This window comes from Homo sapiens, chromosome 13 (assembly GCF_000001405.40).
Source record: "Homo sapiens chromosome 13, GRCh38.p14 Primary Assembly".
Lineage (NCBI taxonomy): Eukaryota > Metazoa > Chordata > Mammalia > Primates > Hominidae > Homo > Homo sapiens.
The window spans coordinates 96,649,815-96,672,884 of record NC_000013.11 but is presented as its reverse complement, the minus strand read 5'-3'; the positions used below and the strand labels follow the sequence as shown (position 1 = coordinate 96,672,884).

The window sequence follows — 23,070 nt, the reverse complement described above, 5'->3', positions numbered from 1 at the left end:
TAAGGTCAAAAGTCTAAGCTGAACCAAGAGTCTCATTAGAAACACTAAAAGATAGAAGAAGATAAAAGAGTGCCTCTACAATACTCAGGGAATATGATTTACCATCCATAATTGTGAATTATCAGGTAAGTGAATTATCAGTTATTTACAAGGGTAAACTAAAGTCATATTCAGATATTCCAAGTCTTCAAACAGTTATCCCCCATGCCCTCTTTCTCAGGAAGCGGTTGGAGTATGTGCCCCCATCAAAATGAAGGAGTCAACCAAGAAAGAAGGATTGAGATCCAGGAGGTGGGGGATCCAACATAGGAGAGCAATGAACAGACTTCAAAGGATGAATCTGAAGGAAAGCTCCAGGATATCACTATGAAATAGTCTTGGAGTCCACAGCTGAGGTTGGAGATGGAGGGCTGCTGGAGAGGGGTTGCCAAGGAAACACGCAGGCTCTTGAGATGACCTTCTATGTTTGACCATACTGACAGGAGTTTGAAATATTGGGAGAATGTTTGGGGATGAATTAGTGACAGGCACAAAAATTAAGCAAAGTAACAAAGTAATTTTAAGCTGTACATACAATAAAATATAGTACAAGAAAGGAAATATGATGTCCTTGTGGATCAGCTGTGAACAATACATAGTCATAATAAAGTAAACATTGACTAACCATTTGGTAATACATCTGTATTGGGAGTGGACAGGTATTGTGTATAAGAAGACACAAGAGAGCAAAATCTTCATATTCCATACTTTGGAGCCAATGCAGAATATTTATCATGAAAATTAATAGCAGTCTGAGCATGGTATTTAGAAATATGGGAATAAATGACAGAAGAATAAATATTTGAATGTGGCTACTGTTAGGGAGCAAATATTGCAGATGGAGCTGGTGGAGCAGGAGAGTATTGATTTCATCATGTCATGCAATATTCTAACTTTTAAAACCACTATTTTGTTTTTAGGTATTAGTGTGTTAAAAATATATTTTTAAGATTGAATAAATCATAACTCGGTGTTAGGAACTGAATCATGCCCTTCCAAAACTCATATGCTGAGGTCTTAACCCATCCTACCTCAGAATGTGACCTTATTTGGAGAGTCTTTGAAGAGATGATTAAATTAAAATGAGGTGATTAGGGTAGGCCCTAATTCAATATAACTAGTGTCCTTATAAAAGGGGGAAATTTGGACACAGGCACATACACAGGGAGAACACCAAGAGAACATGAAGGCCATCTGTAAGTCAAGGAGAGGGGCCTGGAACAGATCCTCCTCCCAGCCCTCAGAAGGAACCAACCTTGCTAACACCCTGATCTTGAGTTTCTAGCCTCCAAAGCTGTGAGAAAAATACATGTCTGTTATTTAAGTCACCCAGTCTGTGGTGCTTCGTTACAGTAGCCCTAGCACATGAATATACTTGGCAACTGATTTATGGTAACTGTCCTACCATAGGTCAATCCTGGACATGGATCCAGGATACATCTTTGTAGTTAGTTGGGCATAACTTCAGTTGAAGGGAATTGCCACTCTCAATCACACTGGGAAGAGGGTAAATACTGGTGTAGGAAATGAGCCATCTTTGAAATATGTAAGGGAGAAGAGACTTCCTTCTGATTTGGGTTCAAAAGAATTTGGGAGGGTGGGGTAAAGGCATCCAAGCCTGTACACAAAGCTCTGATGACACTTGGAGCATTCCTAACAATGAGGAGAACTAGCTGGCTCCAACCTGTGTGGAAGCAGGTAGGCAGCTGCTGTAGCAAAAATTCTCTTGAGGTCAGGTTTAGGCTGAGGGGGTCCCTTCTAGTCATATTTGTAAGTTACTCTCCAGTGGTGTACTTTCATTACCCCTAAGTGTTCAGTAAAGTAAAGCCTATCCCTAAAGCTACTAAAATTCATAGCCTGCCATTGGTTGCACTGGAGACCTAATCCCAGGTATCAGAGACATGGTCAAGGAGCAGCCAGAGGGGAATATCAGCAGTAGGCCCCCAAGAAGCACAGCTGTGTCTGCCCAGCAGAAAGCACTTGCAGGACCTCTGGCTGCACAGATGCAAAACATTTTCCATCTCTGTTGGCCAGTCATTGTCCATTTGGTAGGACAGGTCCTCTTCCAAGGGCCAATGTTTTGTCTTAAAGTATAAGAAAATATTTCATTCCAGGAAATCAAAATTTAATTCAAAAATATAAAAAGAACAGTTCAATATTTTATTTGATTAAATCTCTAGGCTTACCTTCATCTGTACTCATACAACCTGACTTCCAACCAATAACCATAGATGAACTCTCCCTGGATGAATCTAGGATCAATACCACTCTTGTGGTTTGTATTCCATCCTCTCCCTGGAACCTCCTTTCTCTCCAGCATCACCATTTCTCCTTTCTATTGAATTATTCCCGCTAGTATACATTCTTGCTATAAGATCTCATGCCTTTAAAAAAAATTACTCTTGATCTCACGATCCCCTCTGCTCTCACCCTGTTCTCTGTTCCTCTTTACATTAAACTCCCAAAAAAGATGTCTATATTCACTAGCCCTGCTTTTCATCTGCCATTCTCTCTTGAATCTACCTCAAACAGACTTTTGTCCCTATTACCTACTAAAAATGCTTTTGCCAAGGCCAGTGAGAACCTCCTCTCACTCAACCTCAACCTCTAAGCAGCATTAAACACAGCTAGCCACTCCCATCTTCTGAAAACATTTTCTTTATTTGGTTTCCAGGATGCCACATGCTTCTAATTTTTCTTTTTTATCTCTGACCTTGCTCCTTCTTAGTCTTCTTTACTGAGTTGTCCCTCTTTTCAGACTTCTAAATGTCAAAGTGCCCTGAGGCACTTTTTATATTAACTTCACTTTTTTACATTTACTCCTTAGGTCATCTCATCCAATTTCATGGCTTTAAAAATAATCTAAAAACTGGTGGTCCTCAAATTTAAATTTCTAGCCCCTATTTGTCTCCTGAACTCCACACCAGTGTATTTTAGGCTACTTAAGCCTTAATTTCCTCTTCTTCCTCAAAACCCACTCATGTTCTCCTCTGTCTTAAGAAACAGCTGCACAACTAAGTCAATATAGCAACTATAATGACAATTTCCTACCACTTTAGCCTTAGAACAGAGGGTCTTTATTACGTAGTTCTTTTACTAGAGAATTTTTACTATTTTAAACACTGTCTGTTCTACAGCAGGATCCAGAGCAAAACAATGGTAAGAAGATCAAATGAAAAGAAAAAAGTACTAAAGAGAAGAAAAAAGTTTACTTCTATCCAGGAGTAGGAAAGTTGAAGAACCACCAAACCATGCATATGCCCTGGTTACCAACTCTTTAGAAATTAAATAAGAAGATATGAGTTTAAGCCATTGTTGAAGAGACTTAAAGGAAGCCTTCCTCAATGTGAGCTCAGATGGGTTCCGGCTAGAAAAATGGGCCATTGAGGAAGGTGCAGCATTTTCCCTCCAAGTGCTTCGAACACTTGGGTAGGCAACAATCTGTCCTGAAAGATTTCAAGACATGTCTTTCCTGGAGGGAGAAGGAAGGATCCAGTTACCTCCTGAGGGCCCATCTAACTCCTAGATTTACAGTTGCACAGTGCACTACAGTGCCACCACTCTCTGGCAACACAGTGCAGTAAACATGTAACATTAAACCAGTCACCATCTGGACCTTTCTTGGCCTAGACAAACTCAATATCCATATAGGGTTTATACCTAAGAAGATTCTCACAAATATGTGTGCCTCCAGCTTAGTTTATTTTATTTTATTTGAATACACAGTGCCCTTCAAGTTTCCTTTTAGGTCTACCACAAATAACAGGTTTTAGCACATCAGGTGATATTTTGCTTCCTGAAGCATTTAAATTAATTTTCTATTACCAATGCAAATGTGTACTTTCCAATTTACCCACTGCACAATAAAACCTAATTTAAAGCAATTAATGTTCATTAATGGCTCCATCTGCATGTTTATCGCTTTATCCTTAAATACTTGAGACATGGTATCCATATTTTATAGCTCTCTTCTTATCAGCAAGAATTCTTATCCTCAAGGGTAAATGTAAGACTAATGTGCAAGGATTTCCTATCTTTATAGAAAAACTGTTGCCTTTTTTTTTTTGAAATATCTAGATGAATAGGTTGAATGTGCATAACAACAAATGTACCTGATACAAAAAAAAAAAAAAAAAAAAAAAAAAAAAAAAAAAAAAAAGGTTGGCACTACTGTGCTCAGCTCCCTCTCTTATCTTCCTCTTTTCCCAGAACCAGGGTGACACAGCAGTGAATATGCACTGGCCAGTTCTTCTGTCTCCAATAAGATTTTGCCAGGAATGGGATAGAATGTAGCAGCGACAGTAGCTCTGTGAGGTTTTCCTGCCTTGTCCCTCAGCAGAAGGGAGCTGCCTCACAGGGTATGGGCAGGTGAGCCAGCAGGTCTTATTATGTCAGGAAGCATTTGAGCATGTGCTTTAGCATCAGACAGGCATTACTTTACCACTTATTAGTTGCATTAGTTGTGTGTCCTCGTGAATATTGTCTAACCTTTTTCAGCATCAGTTTTCTCATCCTGCCTGTTTAGGTTTTTCTCATGACTGAATAAGATAATCCATTAAAAGCTACAACATGTTGCCTGTAAGACAGTAGCTCCACCAGACCAGATTGCCAGGGTTCAAATTCTGGCTTCACTCTTCACCAGCTGTGTGTGTGTGCGTGTGTGTGTGTGTGTGTATGCGTGTGTGAGAGAGAGAGAGACCTCTCTGTGCCTCAGTTTTTTCATCTGCAAAATGGGCATTATAACAGTATCTATTGCAAAGAGCTGTTGTGAAGATTAAAATGATTTAACCCTTGTACATTACTTAAAACTGAGCTTGGCAGATAGTAAGGACTTGGTGAATGTTAGAGGGAGAAAAACAAAAACAGTAGGTGCTTTGGAAATAGCTATTTTTATTAAATATTTTCCCTCCAGTCATAGACTGTAGTGCTAAAATGTGGCTTCTGGGTTTACAGACAAGAATTCTGGCACAAGGGCACATGCAGGTGGCTTTTTCCACTCCCCTTTCCCCCATCCTAGAGGAAGGCATAGTAAGTACCCCTTCTGTGACACTGTAATGTCTAAGGCTTTACAGCCAAGTCCATGTATAATTCTTGCAAAAAAGGAAAAAGTCAATAATGTTTACACCATTTTAACAAGAATAGCAAATGGGTTTGGGGAGATTTTTTATATGTAACATTGCTGAACAAAAATCAAGCCATCAGATTTGTCTATTTCTAAAAAAATAAGTTAATAAATGTTTCCCCACGTGTGATTTCAGTGAAATTTACATTTACGAGTCATTATCGTTCTGGTGGAAGGCTAAATAATATTCAGCTTGTCACTGGAGGGGCAGATGGAGATGGAGTTTAGGAAGGTGACAAGCTAGCTGACAGAAATGAGTAAAATTTACGTTCTCACCAACCTAATGGCAAGCAATTATTTCTGAACTAGGATAACAAATGGGCTTTTTTTATCCTATAACTTGACATGCATTATAGAAGTTTCCAGAAGGCATATTTTCTGCAAAGAAGCAACTGATTCTGTATTCAACGTTTAATGCAAGAGTTTAATTGGATACTGACCCTTTCAGAAGATTTCGTTACAACTTAGAAATTAAGAGAATAGAAAATCTACCTGAAGTTGTCTGCTACTTACTGCTATTTCTCTGTTTTAATATTGCCTTACAAATGTAGTTTTAATTCATATTCAATATGATTTATAGAATTTTGCATTAGCAAAATATAAATTACTCCATGTATAATCTGTAGTCATACTATTTTATGAGTATCATAAATAAAAGAAATACAAGTGGGACGTGTGGTGTTTATCTTGGCTTGAAAGACTGTATCTTAGCATGAGAAAGATATTTTTGATTCCATGACTAAATGACATCCTACATAATAAAAAATGGGCAAATTTACTGGCATAGTTCATCATGGATGACATTATACAATTAAAATGTATTAATGTAAAATGTTACATAAAATAGTAACTAAACTAGACTCACTCTCCTATATAAAAATTGCATATCTTGAAAACAAGGTGCAATACCTGTATGAGTTATTTTCATTTAGTTATTTTCATGAAGGCATAAAATATAACTATTTTATAAAGAAGTAAAATTTTGAAAATGAGGTCACACAGAAAATCTAGAAATGTACATTCACAACCTGTTAGAGGTGGAAATGATGATACTTCTATGGTTCATATCGTTTATGTTAGAAATAAGCCGAAGTTCAACGTGTTGCTGTAATATGCTAAATGAAGTATCAAGTGAGAGCAATTGTAAAGAGAAAATTAAAATATCTTCAGCCATTGAAAAATTAACCATAATACTACTATAGTATAATAGTATAATAATCTTAATCTAATAATATTGAAAAGAAAGTTATACGAGGAAAAACAGCATGAATGTGATGCATTTTAATGAATTGATGACAGACTTACCAGATCAAAGGGAAGAGAATAATAAAGGGATAGAAGAAAAGAAAAATAATATTGAGCACTAATATGGTTTGTCCGTGATTGCACCCAAATCTCGCCTTGAATTGTAGTCCCTATAATCCCCCCATGTCATCAGAGGGACCTGGTGGAAGGTAATTGAATCATGGTGGGGCTTACCCCCATGCTGTTGTTCTTGTGATAGTGAGTGAGTTCTCATGAGATCTGATGGTTTTATAAGGGGCTTTTTCTCCTTTTGCTCAGCACTTCTCCTCCTGTCACCATGTAAAGAAGTACATGTTTGCTTTCCCTTCCTCCATGATTGTAAGTTTCTTGAGCTTCCCCAGTCATGCTGAACTGAGTCAATTAAACCTTTTTCCTTTATAAATTACCCAGTCTCGGGTATGTCTTTATTAGCACCATGAGAATGGACTAATACAAGCACCTACTATGTATTCGTATCATGGTAACATAGTTTACTCAAAAAGGCTTAGTTTAAAATCTGCCTCAACACTTACTAGTCTGTGTCCTTGGGCCAATCAAGTCCTGTGAGTTTCTGACTTCACTTTTAAAACTTGAGGTAATAATAACTAGAGCTACCATGAGTAATAACAAGACTTAAAGTATTAAACTATTCCTGTAGGATAATAAGAGTCCATTGTACTCTGGGATCTTCAGATGGGTTCTATTACTTAATGCTCATGATCACACCATGCCACAAAGCCAGTGGCAGAGCTGCGATTCAAATCAGGCCTGTTTATTCCAAAACCCAAGCTATTTTCATAGGTTTAGCTTCAAGAAATTTGTACATTTTTGCCCCTGTGCTAGAAATTCTTTTCCCACTCTTCTACCCTAAATCTCCAACTGCCTTCTAAACTCTATTCATCCTTCAAAATTTATTTAAATATAATTTTTTCAGTGAGCTGTCCCTAATGCTTCTATTTTATGTTCTCTTAGCATTCTGACATTTTTTCTTTGGTATACTTATGCATAATTAAAATGAGTTAGTTATTTTCCTATTTTTAGTACTCCTTCACTACTAGACTGTAAGTACCATGAGAACAAGGGCCATTTCTCTCTTACTCACCATGATGTCTCCAGCTCCATTGCTATGTATGTGGCACAATGTAGGCATTCAATTGAAATGTATCTTATACATCAATGAATGCATGAATGACTAAATGAAGAATGAAGAAGCTTTGGGTTGGCAAATGCTTCTTTTTGGCCTTGTTTATTTATTTATTTATTTTATCTTTTTGAGACAGGGTCTCTATTGCCCAGGCTGGAGTGAGTGGCATGATCACAGCTCACTGCAGCCTTGACCTCCCGGGCTCAAGCCATCCTCCCAGCTCAGCCTCCTGAGTAGTTGGGACTATAGGCATACACCACCATGCCCAGCAAATTTTTGTATTTTTTGTAGAGACGCGGTTTCACCATGTTGCCCGGGCTGGTCTTGGACTCTTGAACTCAAGCAATCCTCCTGCCTTGGCCTCCCAAAGTTCTGGAATTATAGGCATGAGCCACCATGCTTAGCCTGCCTTTGTTTATTAATGAGAGAATGCTAAAGAAGAAAAAGAAGAAATAGACAAATTTAAGATACAGTAGAGTTATTATAAGAGATGGGGTAAAGTCCCTGGGAAAGTCAGAGAACTTGATCAGGCCATGGAAGTAAGAACTGCCCAAGAAAAGGAAGAGAAACAGTTCTGATACTGTCTTAGGAAAGAAGATGGAAAGATAGTTGTAGATGCAGAAATTATTTTCAAAAGAGATCCCCTCACCTATATTACATTCTCTGTAAAGTAGGAGTTGAAATTCACATGTCAGAGTGAGTGAGAGGAGGAAGATGGGGTTTTGAAGACCTGAGTGTAGAGTATTGGAGAAGGTAGAAATGAGAGACACAGGGCTCCCAGGAAGCATTAATATTCAGCTAAAGTTAGAGACTATGAAGTTTCAGTGTTTTTGATCTATATTGGCTTGGATAGTATTTTCTGCTGCATGGCACAGCACAGCAACTGGGGTCTGAGTGATGAAATGACATATGGTTAAACTCAATATAAAAATTACAGTGATGACGATGATGATGATAATGGCAACAATGACAAACACTGAAACATTGACTCACTGTTACTATCAAGCACTGTGCAAAGCTGTTTCTATGAATTATCTTATTTCTTACATACACACAGCATGCATGGGTGCACATACACACATACACTATGTTGCATATATCCCTTCTTTACAGATGAGAAAGCCGAGATTTCCTTTTTATACAACTTGATTAATGTATAATTTTATATAACACCACAAAATTTACCTATTGCATTTGTAGAACTACATGATTCTCAATAAATTTATAGAGTTGGCAACCATCCCCACAAAGCAATTTTAGACCATTTTCAGTACTCAAAAAAAAATTCCCTTAAACCTGTTTGCACTCAATTTTGCTTCAACCTCCAAGCCCAGGCAACCACTAATCTGCCAGCTCCATAAATATGCCTTTTATGGATATCTTATATAAATGGAATCATACAATATAGAGATTTGTTCATTTTGTGTGGCTTCTTTCACTTAGGATAATGTTTTGTGGTTCACTCATTCTGTATTATATATCAGTATTTTCTTGTTTTTATTGCCAAAGAGCATTTAATTAAATGGATATATCACATTTTAAAATTGATGGACGTTTGAATTGGACTATTAGATTAATAATACTGCTGTGAAAATCCACATGCAATTCTTTGTGCAAACATATATTTCTATTCTCTTGTGTTAATTCCTAGAAGTGGGAACAGGGCTGTGTGGTACAGTTATATTTAACTTGTTAGGAAACTGCCAAAATGTTTTCCAAAGTAGATGTAGCATTGCATATTCCCATTAAAAATGGATGATAGTTTCAGTTTCTCCATGTTATTACCTATACTCTGTGTCTTCCATCTATTTGATTTTAGCCATTCTTATGGATATATAATGGCACCTAACTGTGGCTTTAATTTGCATTCCCTAATGACTCATGATGTTTGGTACTTTATTATGCACTTATTAGCCAGTTGCATGACTTCTTTGGTAAAATATTCTTACTCAAATTTCCCATGGAGAACTGTGGGAGAGAAGTTTTGCACAGCTCTCAGGTACATTGTGGCCTGGAGATAAATAACAGTCTAAACTGAGAGTCAGGATCCCCGGGACAGGGGTGTGATAAGGAAACAGATCACATCCCCACCTGTCCAGGGCATGAAGCTGGTGCAGACTCCTTGACCTCTGCAGTGGCCTCAGCTCATTTCACCAGGAGCTCCCCCAGCCACCCCTGTCAGGGCTGGTGCCTGTACTCATCACTGGGGTATTTGTGGGTGAGCACAGCGGTCCAGCTTTTCCCAGTTTTGTCCCCTCTCCCAGCTAAACAGGGAACTTAGGGCAGCAGGCATCCCACAGACCAGCCCACTACCTGAAAGAACAGAGAGCACCTCCCAACAAACAAAAATCAAGCACACACCCATCTGCTTCTACCATTGCTGGCTATTATCCATAAGCACCAACTACTGGCCTGGAGGTTGAACTGCACAACCCAACACAAAACTTGCTGACAGAAGAGCAAAGACCCTAACCAATATAAAGTCACACTCTCAAGAGGAAAGAAAACATCCCATCCAAAGCAAAGAAAATTCAAAATTAAAAAATGATAGCTTCTCCAGATGAGAAAGAACCAACAAAAGAACTCTGGCACCATTAAAAGATTGAGTGTTGTGACATTCCCATTATATCACACTAGCACTCTAGCAATGGATCCTAACTGAAATGAGAATGTTGAAATGACAAATTAAAAATTCAAAATATAGATTTTAAGGAAGTTCAATGAGATCCAAGAGAAAGCTGAAAACCAACACACACACACACACACACACACACACACACCCCATACACACACACACAAACATGATATGAAAGAAGAGATCGATTAAAAAAATATCAAACAGAACTTCTGGAAAGGAAAAATTCACTGAAGAAGTTACAAAGTAGACTTTAAAGCTTCAACAATAGACTAGACCAAGGAGCAGAAGAAATTTCAAGATTGAAGACAGGTCTTTTGAATTAACCCAGTCAGAAGGAAATTGAATAAAAAAATAGAACTACATAAAAAATGAACAAAGGCTTCAAGAAATTTGAGAGTATGTAAAGTGATGAAACCAGTGAGTCACGGGCATTCCTGAGACAGAAGAAGAAAAAGGAAAAAGTTTGGAAAGCCTATTTGAGGAAATAATTCACGAAAATGTCCCTAGGCTTGCTAGAGATGTAGATATTCAGACACAAGAGACTCAGAGCACCTGAAAGATAGTTTGCAAGATGCACATCACCAAGGCATACAGTTAACAGGCTATTCAAAGTCCACGTAAAGGAAAAAATCCTAAAATCAGTAAGAGAGAAGCATCAAATTATCTATAAAGGAAATACCACCAGTCATAAAAGTAGACTTCTTAGCAGAAAATTTACAAGTCAGAAGGAATTGGCATCCTATTTTCAATATTCCTAAAGAAAAGAACTGCCAGAAAAGAATTTTGTATCCTGCTAAACTAAGCTTCAAAAATAAAAGATAAATAAAGTCTTTCCCAGACTAGCAAACACTAAGGGAATTCATCACCAATAGACCGGACCCACAAGGAATGCCATAGGCATTCTAAACATGGGAAAGAATGGGCAAAACTCACCATCATAAAAACACGTGAAAGTAAAAATCTCACAGGTCTTATGAAGCAAACACACATTTATGACTATGAAGCAACTAACAATTAATATCATGACAGAAACAAAACCTCACATGTCAATATTAACCGTGAAGATAAATGAACTAATGCTCTACTTAAAAGATGCAGACTGGCAGAATAAATTAAAAAACTGAGATTCACCCATATACTGCCTTCAAGAAACCCACCTAATGGGTAAAGACATTCACAGACTCAAAGTAAAATGTTGGAAAAAGAAAAGCAAGCAGGAGTAGCTACACTTACATCAGATAAGACAACCTTTAACTCAATAACTGTTAAAAAAAAGACAATAAAGGATTCAATTCAACAAGAAGATGTAACAATCATCAAAATACATGCACCCAATACTGGAGCACCCACATTCATAAAACAATGTTACTAGACCTAAGAAAGGAGATAGACCAAAATACAATAATGGTGGGGGACTTCAACACACCGCCAACAGTATTAGGTAGATCTTCGAGGCAGATAATCAAAATCCCATGATAGGCCATCTGCAAGTTGAGGAGCAAGGAAGCCAGTAGTGGCTCAGTTCAAGTCCTGAAACCTCAAAAGTAGGGAAGCCAACAGTGCAGCCTTCAGTCTGTGACCAAAGACCAAAGGCCTAAGAGCCCCAGAAAAACCACTAGTATAAGTCCACGAGCCCAGAAGCTGAAGAACTTGGAGTTCGAGGGCAGGAAGTACCCAACACAAAAGAAAGATGAAGGCTGGAAAACTCAGCAAGTCTGCTTCTTCCACCTTCTTCCCACTTCTTCTACCTGCTTGTTCTAGCCACACTGGCAGCCACCTTGTGGGTGGGTCTCCCTGAAGGTGGGTCTTCCTCTCCCAGTCCACTGACTCAAATGTCAGTCTCTTCTGGAAACTCCCAGAAACACCAAGATACATCCAGAAACAATACTTTGCATCCTTCAATCCAATCAAGTTGCCACTTAATATTAACCATCATGGTTTCTAATATTTATTATCTTAAGGTTCTTATTGTTTGATATTAATAGAATTCTTTGAGTTCTATTAACATTATAGTTATTGTTTCATAAGCAAAAATCATTGCCAAGTCCAATGCCACAGAGCTTTCACCCTGTGTTTTCTTTTAGGAGTTTTACAGATTTAGATCTTAAGTTTAAGTCCTTAATGTATTTTGAGTTGATTTTTATGTATGGTATAAGATAAGAGTCAAATTCCATTCTTTTGCACATGGATATGCAGTTTTCCCAACACCATTTATTGAAAAGACTATCCTTTCCTCATTGTGTATGAATAAATGTTGGCTAATATGATTTTACATTTGTCAAACTTCTACTATTTATTTGTAACAGAAAATGTTTTGTATAATAATTTACAATTTTCAAAATGCTCCTGTGCCCTTTAGTATGTATTATTTTTAAAATAATCCTGGGAGGCAGGTGTTATTGTACTGAAATTATAGCTGAGAATTATTCTGTATGGTTAATAAGTGGTAGAATCTTGATAGAAACTCAGTTCTTCTGATACTGTATTAATGCATTTCACACTACAAAATAGAGGCTTTCTTCATTAAAAATTTAATTGTCTTGTTATTCCTACAGCTTTGGTTTGAAATGAGGGTGCATTATGATTCAGTATACTTAATAAAAAAACAAATTTAATCATTGAGTTTGCAAGCCTTAAAGGATTAAGTAAATATTAGTGCATCTATAAATCAAATCCCATCTATCAATTAAAAGTGGCATTATGTTGAATGTTTATTGTCATGAAAATATAACCCTAATATAATAAGTGCTAAAAAGTTACAAAACACATCTTTTGTAACTTTTAACCAATATATAAACTTTTCTGTTTATGTATCAACAGAAGAGATAGTCCAGAAATAGATGTACACACATGAAGTCAGTTGATTTGTGACAAAGGTGCCACTAAAATTCAGTAGAAAAGGAATTTATTTTCCATAAATGGTTCTGGAGCAATTAGATAGCTATATGAGACCAAAAAAATGAACATTGCCCCATTATTTCATACTATATTTTAAAAATTAATGTGAGATGGATGATGAATCAAAATTTGAAGAAAAACAATAAAAACTATTATAGTAGAAAACATATATCTTCATACCTTAGGACAGAAATCTATTTCTTCATTAATACAGCAAAAAAATGCAATAAAGAAAAGTTATACATTTTAAATTTAAGAAGTAATTTATTAAAATATACCATGAAGAGATTGAAAAAATAATCCAGAGATAAGATATTAATAATCATAATACATATGTCTAACAAAGAGCTTATATATGGGCTATCTCAAGAATTCCCATAACCTAATAAGAAAAAGGCAAATGAAACTATTTTTAAAATTGAACAAAAGATTTGAAGACACTCTGCAACAGAAAATATCCAAAGGACAAATCAGCAAATATCAATGTAATCAATCACCAGTGAAACGCAAATTAAAATAACCACCCCAAACCACTACATTCTCTATAGAATAGCTAAATCCAAAAAGCTGACAATGCCACTTGTTGGCAATAATGCAGAGTAACTGGACCATTCATATCTTGCTAAAGGAAGAATAAACTGCTGCATCAACTTCAGAAAACTGTCATTTTCTACTTAAGCTACATATATTTTTCCTCCATGATACAGCAATCAACACTGCTAAGCATAAAGCCAAGGTAAAAGAGTTCATACAGGCTAGGCACAGAGGTTCATGCCTGTAATCCCAGCACTTTGGGAGGCAGAGGCGGTGGATTACTTGAGGTCAGGAGTTCGATACCAACCAGACCAATATGGTGAAACTCCATCTCTACTAAAAATACAAAAAAATTAGCTGGGTGTGGTGGTGCATGCCTGTAATCCCAGCTAGTTGGGAGGCTGAGGCACGAGAACTGCTTGAATCCGGGAGGCAGAGGTTGCAGTGAGCCAAGATCATGCCATTGCACTCCAGCCTGGGCAACAAAAGTGAAACTCCATCTCAAAAATAAAAATAAAAAATAAAATAAATAAATAAATAAAAGAGTTCATATAACCGCCATACAAAAACATTCATAACAGCCTTATCCATAACATCCAGAAACTGGAAACAACCCAAATAATGATCAATAGAAGAAAGATACGGCCAGGCATGGTGGCTCATGCCTGTAATCCCAGCACTTTGGGAGGCCAAGGCAGGCAGATCATTTGAGATCAGGAGTTCGAGACCATCCTGACCAACATGGTGAAACCCCATCTCTACTAAAAATATTAAAAAATTAGCCAGGCGTGGAGGTGCATGCCTGTAGTCCCAGCTACTCGGGAGGCTGAGGCAGAAGAATCACTTAAACCCAGGAGGCAGAGGTTGCAGTGAGCCAAGATTGTGCCATTGCACTCCAGCTTGGGTAACAGAGTGAGACGCCATCTCAAAAAAAAAAAAAAAAAAAAAAAAAAAAAAGAAGAAGAAGAGAAGAAGAAGAAGAAGAAAGATAAATTGTGGCATATAACAGAAGAGTACATAGCAATAAAAAATCAACAAGCTAATAATACATGCAACAATGTGAATAAATCTCACAGACATTATGTTGAGAATCCAGACACACAAAAGTTCAGATGATATGATTCCATTTATGTCAACGTTAAGAATAGGCAAAATTAACAAGTGATGGCAGAAATCAAAAATCATCCCCATGGGGAAGAGGTACAACAGAACTTTCTGGAATGCCAGAATTGTTCTAGATTTTGATGTGACACTTACATGTAACTGCCAAGTCAAGTGTTGCTTCAGTTTCATTGTGCTTCCTCAGGATCAATGTCTCATAACTGTTATGGGAGGACTGAAGCCTGACTTCAGCTACTAGCTATGGTGTGCTGCCTTGTTCTTCACATTGCCTGGGTGGTAATTTCAAACACTGAATTTCCACTGGATAAAACAAGTTTTTGCAGAATCTTCCATCCCCTCTCCCTTCATCTATTTCTCCATGTCTGCTGCCATGTAAGGTTCCGTAGGATCTCATTGAGTATTTCTGGTATTAGCATGTCCACCGTCAAGGATTCTTTACAAAAGCTCTTCTGAAAAAGCAACCAATGGCATGTGTAGACCATGATCACTCACAGCAAAGCATTTGAAACCTAAAACTTTTCATTTGAAACAATAATTGACAGGACATTGTGTTCTGATCTTAAACTGCTTATTTGTTTGTTTTGAGACAAGATCTTGCTCTGTTGCTCAGGCTGGAGTGTAGTGAAATGATCTCAGCTCACTGCATCTTTGACCTCCCAGGTTCAAGCGATCCTCCCACTTCAGCCTCCCAAGTAGCTAGGACCATAGGTATGTGCCACCTCCCTATATTGCCCAGGCTGGTCTCAAACTCTTGGGCTCAAGTGATCTTCCCACTGCAGTCTCCTAAAGTGCTGAGATTATAGGTGTGAGCCACTGTGCCTGGCCTTAAAGCATCGTAAAAGTGAATGAGTTCTAGGTTGGTAAGACAATATCTTTTTTCTTTTTAAAATTTCTCCTCATTATTTTGATAATTTTGCTTTGCAATAAACAAAAATTAGGAAAGAATACATCTCTGTTGGTGCTGAATAAATATTAGGGATGGTTGGGTTCTACCTTTGATTATTTCCTGCTTTGCCATTTGAGGCACATCCCAGGTGTGGCAGGGTAAGACACATGTGCACATGTAAATTCTCATTCTTTCTCTCTCTCTCTCTCTCTCTCTCTCACACACACACACACACACACACACACACACACACACACACACAAAAGAAAAGCCAGAGTAATCCATCTGGCCATAACACATTCAGGTTTTGACAAACTGCATCTGGCCGTGACACATTCCAAACATGGCTTTAGAGCAAGCATAAGATTATTTTGTATATAATTCCGTCAATCCAGTCAGTTTGCTATGAAATGTAAGGTTTAGAACTTGCCTAAAGCTTGGAGCTCAAGAGCATCAGCCTTGGTTTCTCAGAATAGCCAATTCATTGAAGGATTCCACCAGGATTCCTATGCCATCGTTTTTGCGACTCCTTCCTCCATTCTACTACAGAAGAGCTCAGAGCCGCACATTGTCCAGAGGCAGAAAAGTTCACAGTGACCCTGACCTTGAGCCCAAAGCCTTGGCCCTAAACACATTTCTTCCACATCAACATATTTTGTTTTCATCATCTCTTTTGTTTCCTGGCCTTTATTCTACTTTCAGAGTGAGCAGAAGTTTGAAATGTGGTCAGAATTAGTTCCAACAATGGATTTCTGTCATATCTCTTGGAACATGAGTTTACTATCTAATAACTTCTAGATCTGAACTTTTGATTTGTGACAGAAATAAAATGAGGCTTCCCTTAATGGAAAAAAGGGTATGTGACATAACTGGAATCTTGTAAAGATACATAACTTGTAAATCATCTGAGAAATCATGGATGGACAGCATTATTGGAGAGCAAATTATTAAATTGCTTTAGTGGTCTCCTCTGCTCAATTCAGCATATAACTTTAGACTTGGAATCTAGACTCATTGTTCTAATTTATTTTGCTTGCATTTTACAAATACCACATTAGTTATCTTCAATAATGCTTCTTCAATGGTAGCCCTAAGAAAATCTTTGTAATTCTCTTAGGTGATGAACAAAGGCACAGAAATACTAGTCTAAATTGGAAGCTCTTGAGGGGATTATATCAATTAGTATGTTTTATACATCATCTAATTTCCTCTTGTCAAGCACAGATTCTGAATTATAATTGTGGTAATCATAATAACAATGAAAATGAGTGACATATTTTACTATCATGAACTACACCCAGCCTTCGTCCTTGAGATGCACAATCTCCTTCCAGAAAGAAGTGGAACCCTGAGAAGCCTGATAGAAGATTGACAAGTAAATAAGATTAGGAGAAAGCTCTTCTCTCTGCAGTAGTGTTACCCATCTCTCCTTTCCCAGCCAACATCACCCAATTCCCAGGAACAAAATATGTATCTGGTTAGTATGGAAGGGACAAGATCAGTAGGAATTTGGTGACTTTGTTTCATTCTTTATCCACAGTACGTTTTTCCTCAGCACTAAACAGTAGTGACTTTTGTCAATCAAAAAAAATCAGAATTTTTTTTCCTAGAGATGGCTCATTATAGATATATCAGAGGCTTCAAAAAAATCTTATAAATAGAAGAATTAGCTATTTTATATAGGCTTCCAAGAAGACAATTTCAGGATAGATACAAATGAAAAGACTTAAACGATAATCAGCAATCCTCCATTTGACAACTCCATTCACAAGTTTTGAGTAAAAGTTCAAAAGGATGATAATTTTTCTATTGCAATCCCCCTCCTGGAAATATGCAATAATCTTTTGCTTTCCAACACTTTGGTAGTCCCCAATGAACTAGACTCTGAAAGCACATTTCTAACACATCAGAAATGTCCCCTGATTTACTCTCCTTAAGGAAAGTTGGCAGGCGACTGTCAGGGGTTCACCGTCTTTCTAGTCCTTATCATCATGAGTGTGTTAGATGGAGAAGTTCGGTTGAGCTGAAAAGCATAAAATAAGGAACTAAGATGCTCATTTTGCTCTCCCTTGACGGATATTGGCAGAGAGAAAATATAAACTTAACAATGCCCTAAGGGCTCAGGTGATCTTTTTCCTTCACTTATAAACAGCTTAAAAATAAGGAAAATCACTGGTGAGCCAGCCAAGACAGCCAAGAAGTTCCTTATTCAAAATCTCATAATGTAAACTCTTCAGGGGAAAAATTGGCACTGCCCTTGTCAGGATAAATATCCACCTCAGACACATTAACTCCAGGCTCTTTTCTAATAGTTATGACTTAAGGAGCAGGCACATCTAGAATGTGTAAAAGTAATACAGATAGAGTGTGTGTTCTTAAATTGATGGTTAAAAATGAACAAGAGAGAGTCTGCTTCACTACAGACATCTTTTGTTTCAATCAGGATATTTAGTTTTTACAAGCAGTAGTTTAAAAAAATTAAAAATATTTCATACATCGCATCATATTCATCCTGTGTTTCTTTGGCACAGAATGGAAGACAAGAATCAAACACAAGAACAAAGCTGGAGGCATCACGCTACCTGACTTCAAACTGTACTACAAGGCTGCAGTAACAAAAACAGCACGGTACTGGTAACAAAACAGATATATAGACCAAGGGAACAGAACAGAGGCCTCAGAAATAATGCCACACATCTATAACCTTCTGAGCTTTGACAAACCTGACAAAAACAAGCAATGGGGAAAGGATTCCCTGTTTAATAAATCGTGTTGGGAAAACTGGATAGCCATATGCAGAAAACAGAAACTGGACCCCTTCCTTACACCTTATGCAAAAATTAACTCAAGATGGATTAAAGACTTAAATGTAAGACCTAAAACCATAAAAACCCTAGAAGAAAACCTAGGCAATACCATTCAGGACATAGGCATGGACAAAGACTTAATGACTAAAACACCAAAAGCAATGGCAACAAAAGCCAAAATTGACAAATGGGATCTAATTAAACTAAAGAGCTTCTACACAGCAAAAGAAACTATCATCAGAGTGAACAGGCAACCTACACAATGGGGGAAAATTTTTGTAATCTATCCATCTGACAAAGGGCTAATAGCCAGAATCTACAAGGAACTTAAACAAATTTACAAGTAAAAAACAAACAACCCCATTAAAAAGTGGGTGAAGGATATGAACAGACACTTCTCAAAAGAAGACATTTATGTGGCCAACAAACATATGAAAAAATGCTCACCATCACTGGTCATTAGAGAAATGCAAATCAAAACCACAATGACATACCATCTCACGCCAGTTAGAATGGTGACCGTTAAAAAGTCAGGAAACAACAGATGCTTGAGAGGATTGGAGAAATAAGAACGCTTTTACACTGTTGGTGGGAATGTAAATTAGTTCAACCATTGTGGTAGACAGTGTGGCGATTCCTTAAGGATCTAGAACCAGAAATACCATTTGACCCAGCAATCCCACTACTGGTTCTATACCCAAAGGATTATAAATCATTCTGCTATAAAGACACATGCACACATATGTTTATTGCAGCACTGTTTACAATAACAAGACTTGGAACCAACCCAAATGCCCATCAGTGATAGACTGGATAAAGAAAATGTGGCACATATACACCATGGATTGCTATGCAGCCATAAAAAAGGATGAGTTCATGTCCTTTGCAGGGACATGGATGAAGCTGGAAACCATCATTCTCAGCAAACTAACACAAGAACAGAAAACCAAACACCACATGTTCTCACTCATAAGTGGGAGTTGAACAATGAGAACACATGGACACAAGGAGGGGAACAACACACACCAGGGCTTGTCAGTGGGTGAGGGGCTAGGGGAGGAATAGCATTAGTAGAAATACCTAATGTAGATGACGGGTTGATAAGTGCAACAAATCGCCATAACACATGTATACCAATGTAACAAACCTACACATTCTGCACATGTATCCCAGAACTTAAAGTATAAAAATAAAAAAAATATATAAAAAGAATCAAACACATGCCATGAACCAACAGTTGAGGTTTCCCAATCCTCAGAAAGTCACTCTTGGTTCAAGACTGAGCTGAATAATACAGTGAAGTTCCCCTACCTTTTCTGCATCCACCTCAGAAAAGAGTTTAGCAAAAATGAGTCCCCAAACAGCAGTGACATTAAACAAAACATTTTTTAAAATGATCATTTCTATTTTCTTGGAGAACAAACAGTCAACCATCAGAGTTGGGTCATCAATTTATTGATGACTATTATAGTGTGATTTGAATTTTGTGACAAAATAAAACATTTTCTCCACTTTTCCCTGTAAGTGCTGCTTATTTTATAGTATATCTAAAGAGCTACTAAATATGAGGTTGAAGACCCAGCACCACCTTTTTAAGTTTGAGAGTAATTATGAATCCTATTGCTAACTGCAGCAATGTTTTCAGAACCCTTTCCCCTAGAGAGGTCCTCAAAGACTGGAGGCATTACTCACATTACAGATTGCCAAACACCTGGGTTGCTGAATCCAATCTTCCATTCATAGAGACATACAAAACAATTTGTTCTGATGCACTGTACAATCAAGAACAAACAGATGAGGTGCTTTCAAATCATAGGGCTGTATATCAACAATTCAGCACAAGGTGATGATGGTTATTTTAAATACCAACACCTTTTATTGTGTGTACCAAGTACATTAAAGCACAGTCATTTGTTAAAGATTACAAATGAGAAAGCAAGAGGCAGACAAACAGAAGGAAGAAGGAGTGGAGGGAAGGACATGAGGGAAAGAAAGAAGGAACAGAAGTAGTGAGGAAGGAAGGGAGGGAGGAAAGAAATGGAAGAAAGGAAAAGAAAAATGGGGAGAGGAAAGGGACGGGACTGCATAGCAAATACATATATGTATACATAAAAAACACATTCATATGTGTGTATGTATACACTAGTATGCACACAGATGTGTGTTTATGTATGTGTGTATATAGCTACAGAAATTATATATAATGGTAGAGTTTTAATACAGTATTATATATATGTGTGATATATGCATATCAGATATGTAGTAGAAACAATACAGTATATTTTATACACAGATGTGTGTATACATAAACTGTATTACACAACTATATTATATATAATAGAAGTTTAATACAAGTATATGTATATACACATTTGTCATGTATATATATGCCTGAGACTATATATCAGGTATTAATACTCTTTATGTCTGATATGTGTCATGACTGTAACATAGGGAGCCAAATCTGAATACTTCCATTCATTACACATATACTAACTGAAGACTTCTCTGAATACTTCCATTCATTACACATATACTAACTGAAGACTTCTCAATAAATAATTGGACCATGTACTGTGAGGATAAAGAGCCAAGGTTAGAACATGGTTCTGGAGTCCAAATGAACTTTGTTTCAGTGAGAAAAGGCATGTAAATAATAAACGAAGTAATATGAGGCAAGTGTCCTGATTAGATACAACTAGATGCTGAGAGGCACTGGAGAAAGGAGGGAGTTTTATGATCTGGTCCAAGGTGGGAAGGACATAGGAAAATGTTACTTGAAGGAGAAGTTTTTTATCTAATTTTAACAGCTGGAGAAGGAATCAGAGTTCTGCAAGCCAATAGGGAAATACGAGTGATGGCATGTGATGAGGAGGGTACAGCATGCTCATGGATGGCCGCTTGATTCATACACCTGGAGAGCAGGGTGCATAAGGGAGCCAAGCTGGGGATATCAGAGGAGGCAAGATTTTGGGGTAGGTGCCCCGCTGAGTCTAGATTTGAGGATGAAGCAATCAGTGGTAGGGTCACAGATTGTCATGCTGGATAGAAGGCATTTTAACTAACTCCTGAAAGATAAATACAGTTTCTGTAGTCAGAAGTGGGCAAAAAAGAACATCCCAGAAAAAGAGGATGATATTAGGAAAGGAGTAGAGATAAGAACATATAATGTTGATTTAAGGAATGGATTAGGATAACAAATACTTACTTCCTGGCATATAGTAGGAGCTCAATAAATATTTGTTGAATAAATAATTGATGATAGAAAAATTAGAAGGAAAGAATTTTCAAAATATAGGTTAGAAGTAAACCTTGAATTCTAGACTAAGAAGTCAGGACTTTTTCCAGTAGCCAATAGGGAGGTATTAAAGGATTTGGAAAGAAAATAATGACAAGTCAACACTATGATCTGGAAGATGAACCTGGTGTTGAGAAAAAGAATGGATTAGAGAGGGCATGTCAGAAAGAACAGGCTATTTCTGTGATGTAGTATCACAGACTAAAGTTAAAAGGGACTTAGACAGGAGTAGAAATTTAATGGACAGAATGAATGGAAGGCAGTATGAACTATCTACTTGTATTATATAGTTTTACTAGACTTATCCACCCACACATAGAAGAACTTTGCAGGACAATACATATAGACCACAAGACTTTCAGGCCTACCTGTGGCCATTGTGTGAACTTCACACTCACTCGGTTCCCCATGCATTCACCCACATCATTCTTATATTTCAGTCTTCCACCCTGCTGCCTGTTTTAAGTTTCCATACACCTCTTGGACTTAAATCAAGTTCTACTTCCTCAATTTGACATTCAGTACTCATTCTTGTACTCTTTCTGTTCTTGGTTGTTTCAGATAAACAAATCCCTCATCCCAGCCTCAGCTTCTAGAGAAAAACCCCAAAAGTGACTCATTCGTTCAGAATGTACCTTATTCCTTGAGTCCCTCAGAAGTGACCCACCAAGAAAGAATGTAGAAGAGGAATGACTTCGATATAGATATAAGACAGAAATGAAAGTCAAGGATGAATTGCCTTTCAAAGGAAATCATTCATTCTTAGATATTTATAGTGTCTGCTAGTGCCAGTCACAGCTCTTCATTCTTGATATAAACCAAAGAACAAAACGATTGGCATTCCTGTTCTTCTGCAGCTTAACAGCTAGTTGGGGATATACATGGTAAACAATAGGTATGACATATATTTGTATAAATTATATAATATGTTTGAAGATGTAAAATGCTATGGAAAAAGTAGAGCAGGGTATGGGGGATCAGCATTGAGAGAAGTGGGAACAGCATGCCACACTGAATAGAGGTGTCAGGGTCTGCCCTACTAGGAAAGGGAGAAACAAGCAGAGGGTTGACAGAAGTGGGGGAATTAGCCAAGTGAGTCTTTAGGGAAGAGCATCCTGGTCAGAAAGAATAACTTACAGGAGCTTGTGAAGTTCAGCAAACAGCAAGGAGGCCAGCATAGCTACTGCAGAGTAAGTAAGAGGGAGTATGACAGGAAATAAGATCACAGCAAAATCTACAGTATTTTACAGGCCATAGTAAAGACTTTGGCTTTTACTCTGAGTGAAATGAAAGGCACT

At 37.5% G+C, this 23,070-nt stretch overlaps 1 protein-coding gene across 1 annotated transcript in view, besides 1 other annotated feature; it reads right to left on the bottom strand.

Annotated features, from left to right (window-relative positions):
* Positions 1-23,070, bottom strand: part of HS6ST3 (heparan sulfate 6-O-sulfotransferase 3) — a 749,456-nt gene that overhangs the window by 166,678 nt on the left and 559,708 nt on the right. The window lies entirely within an intron of this gene.
* Positions 4,183-4,383: a silencer, noted in NCBI's record as "peak2102 fragment used in MPRA reporter construct". NCBI's record gives its function as "represses an SCP1 promoter by STARR-seq MPRAs in K562 erythroleukemia cells {active_cell/tissue: K562}" and the evidence as "EXISTENCE:reporter gene assay evidence [ECO:0000049][PMID:32103011]".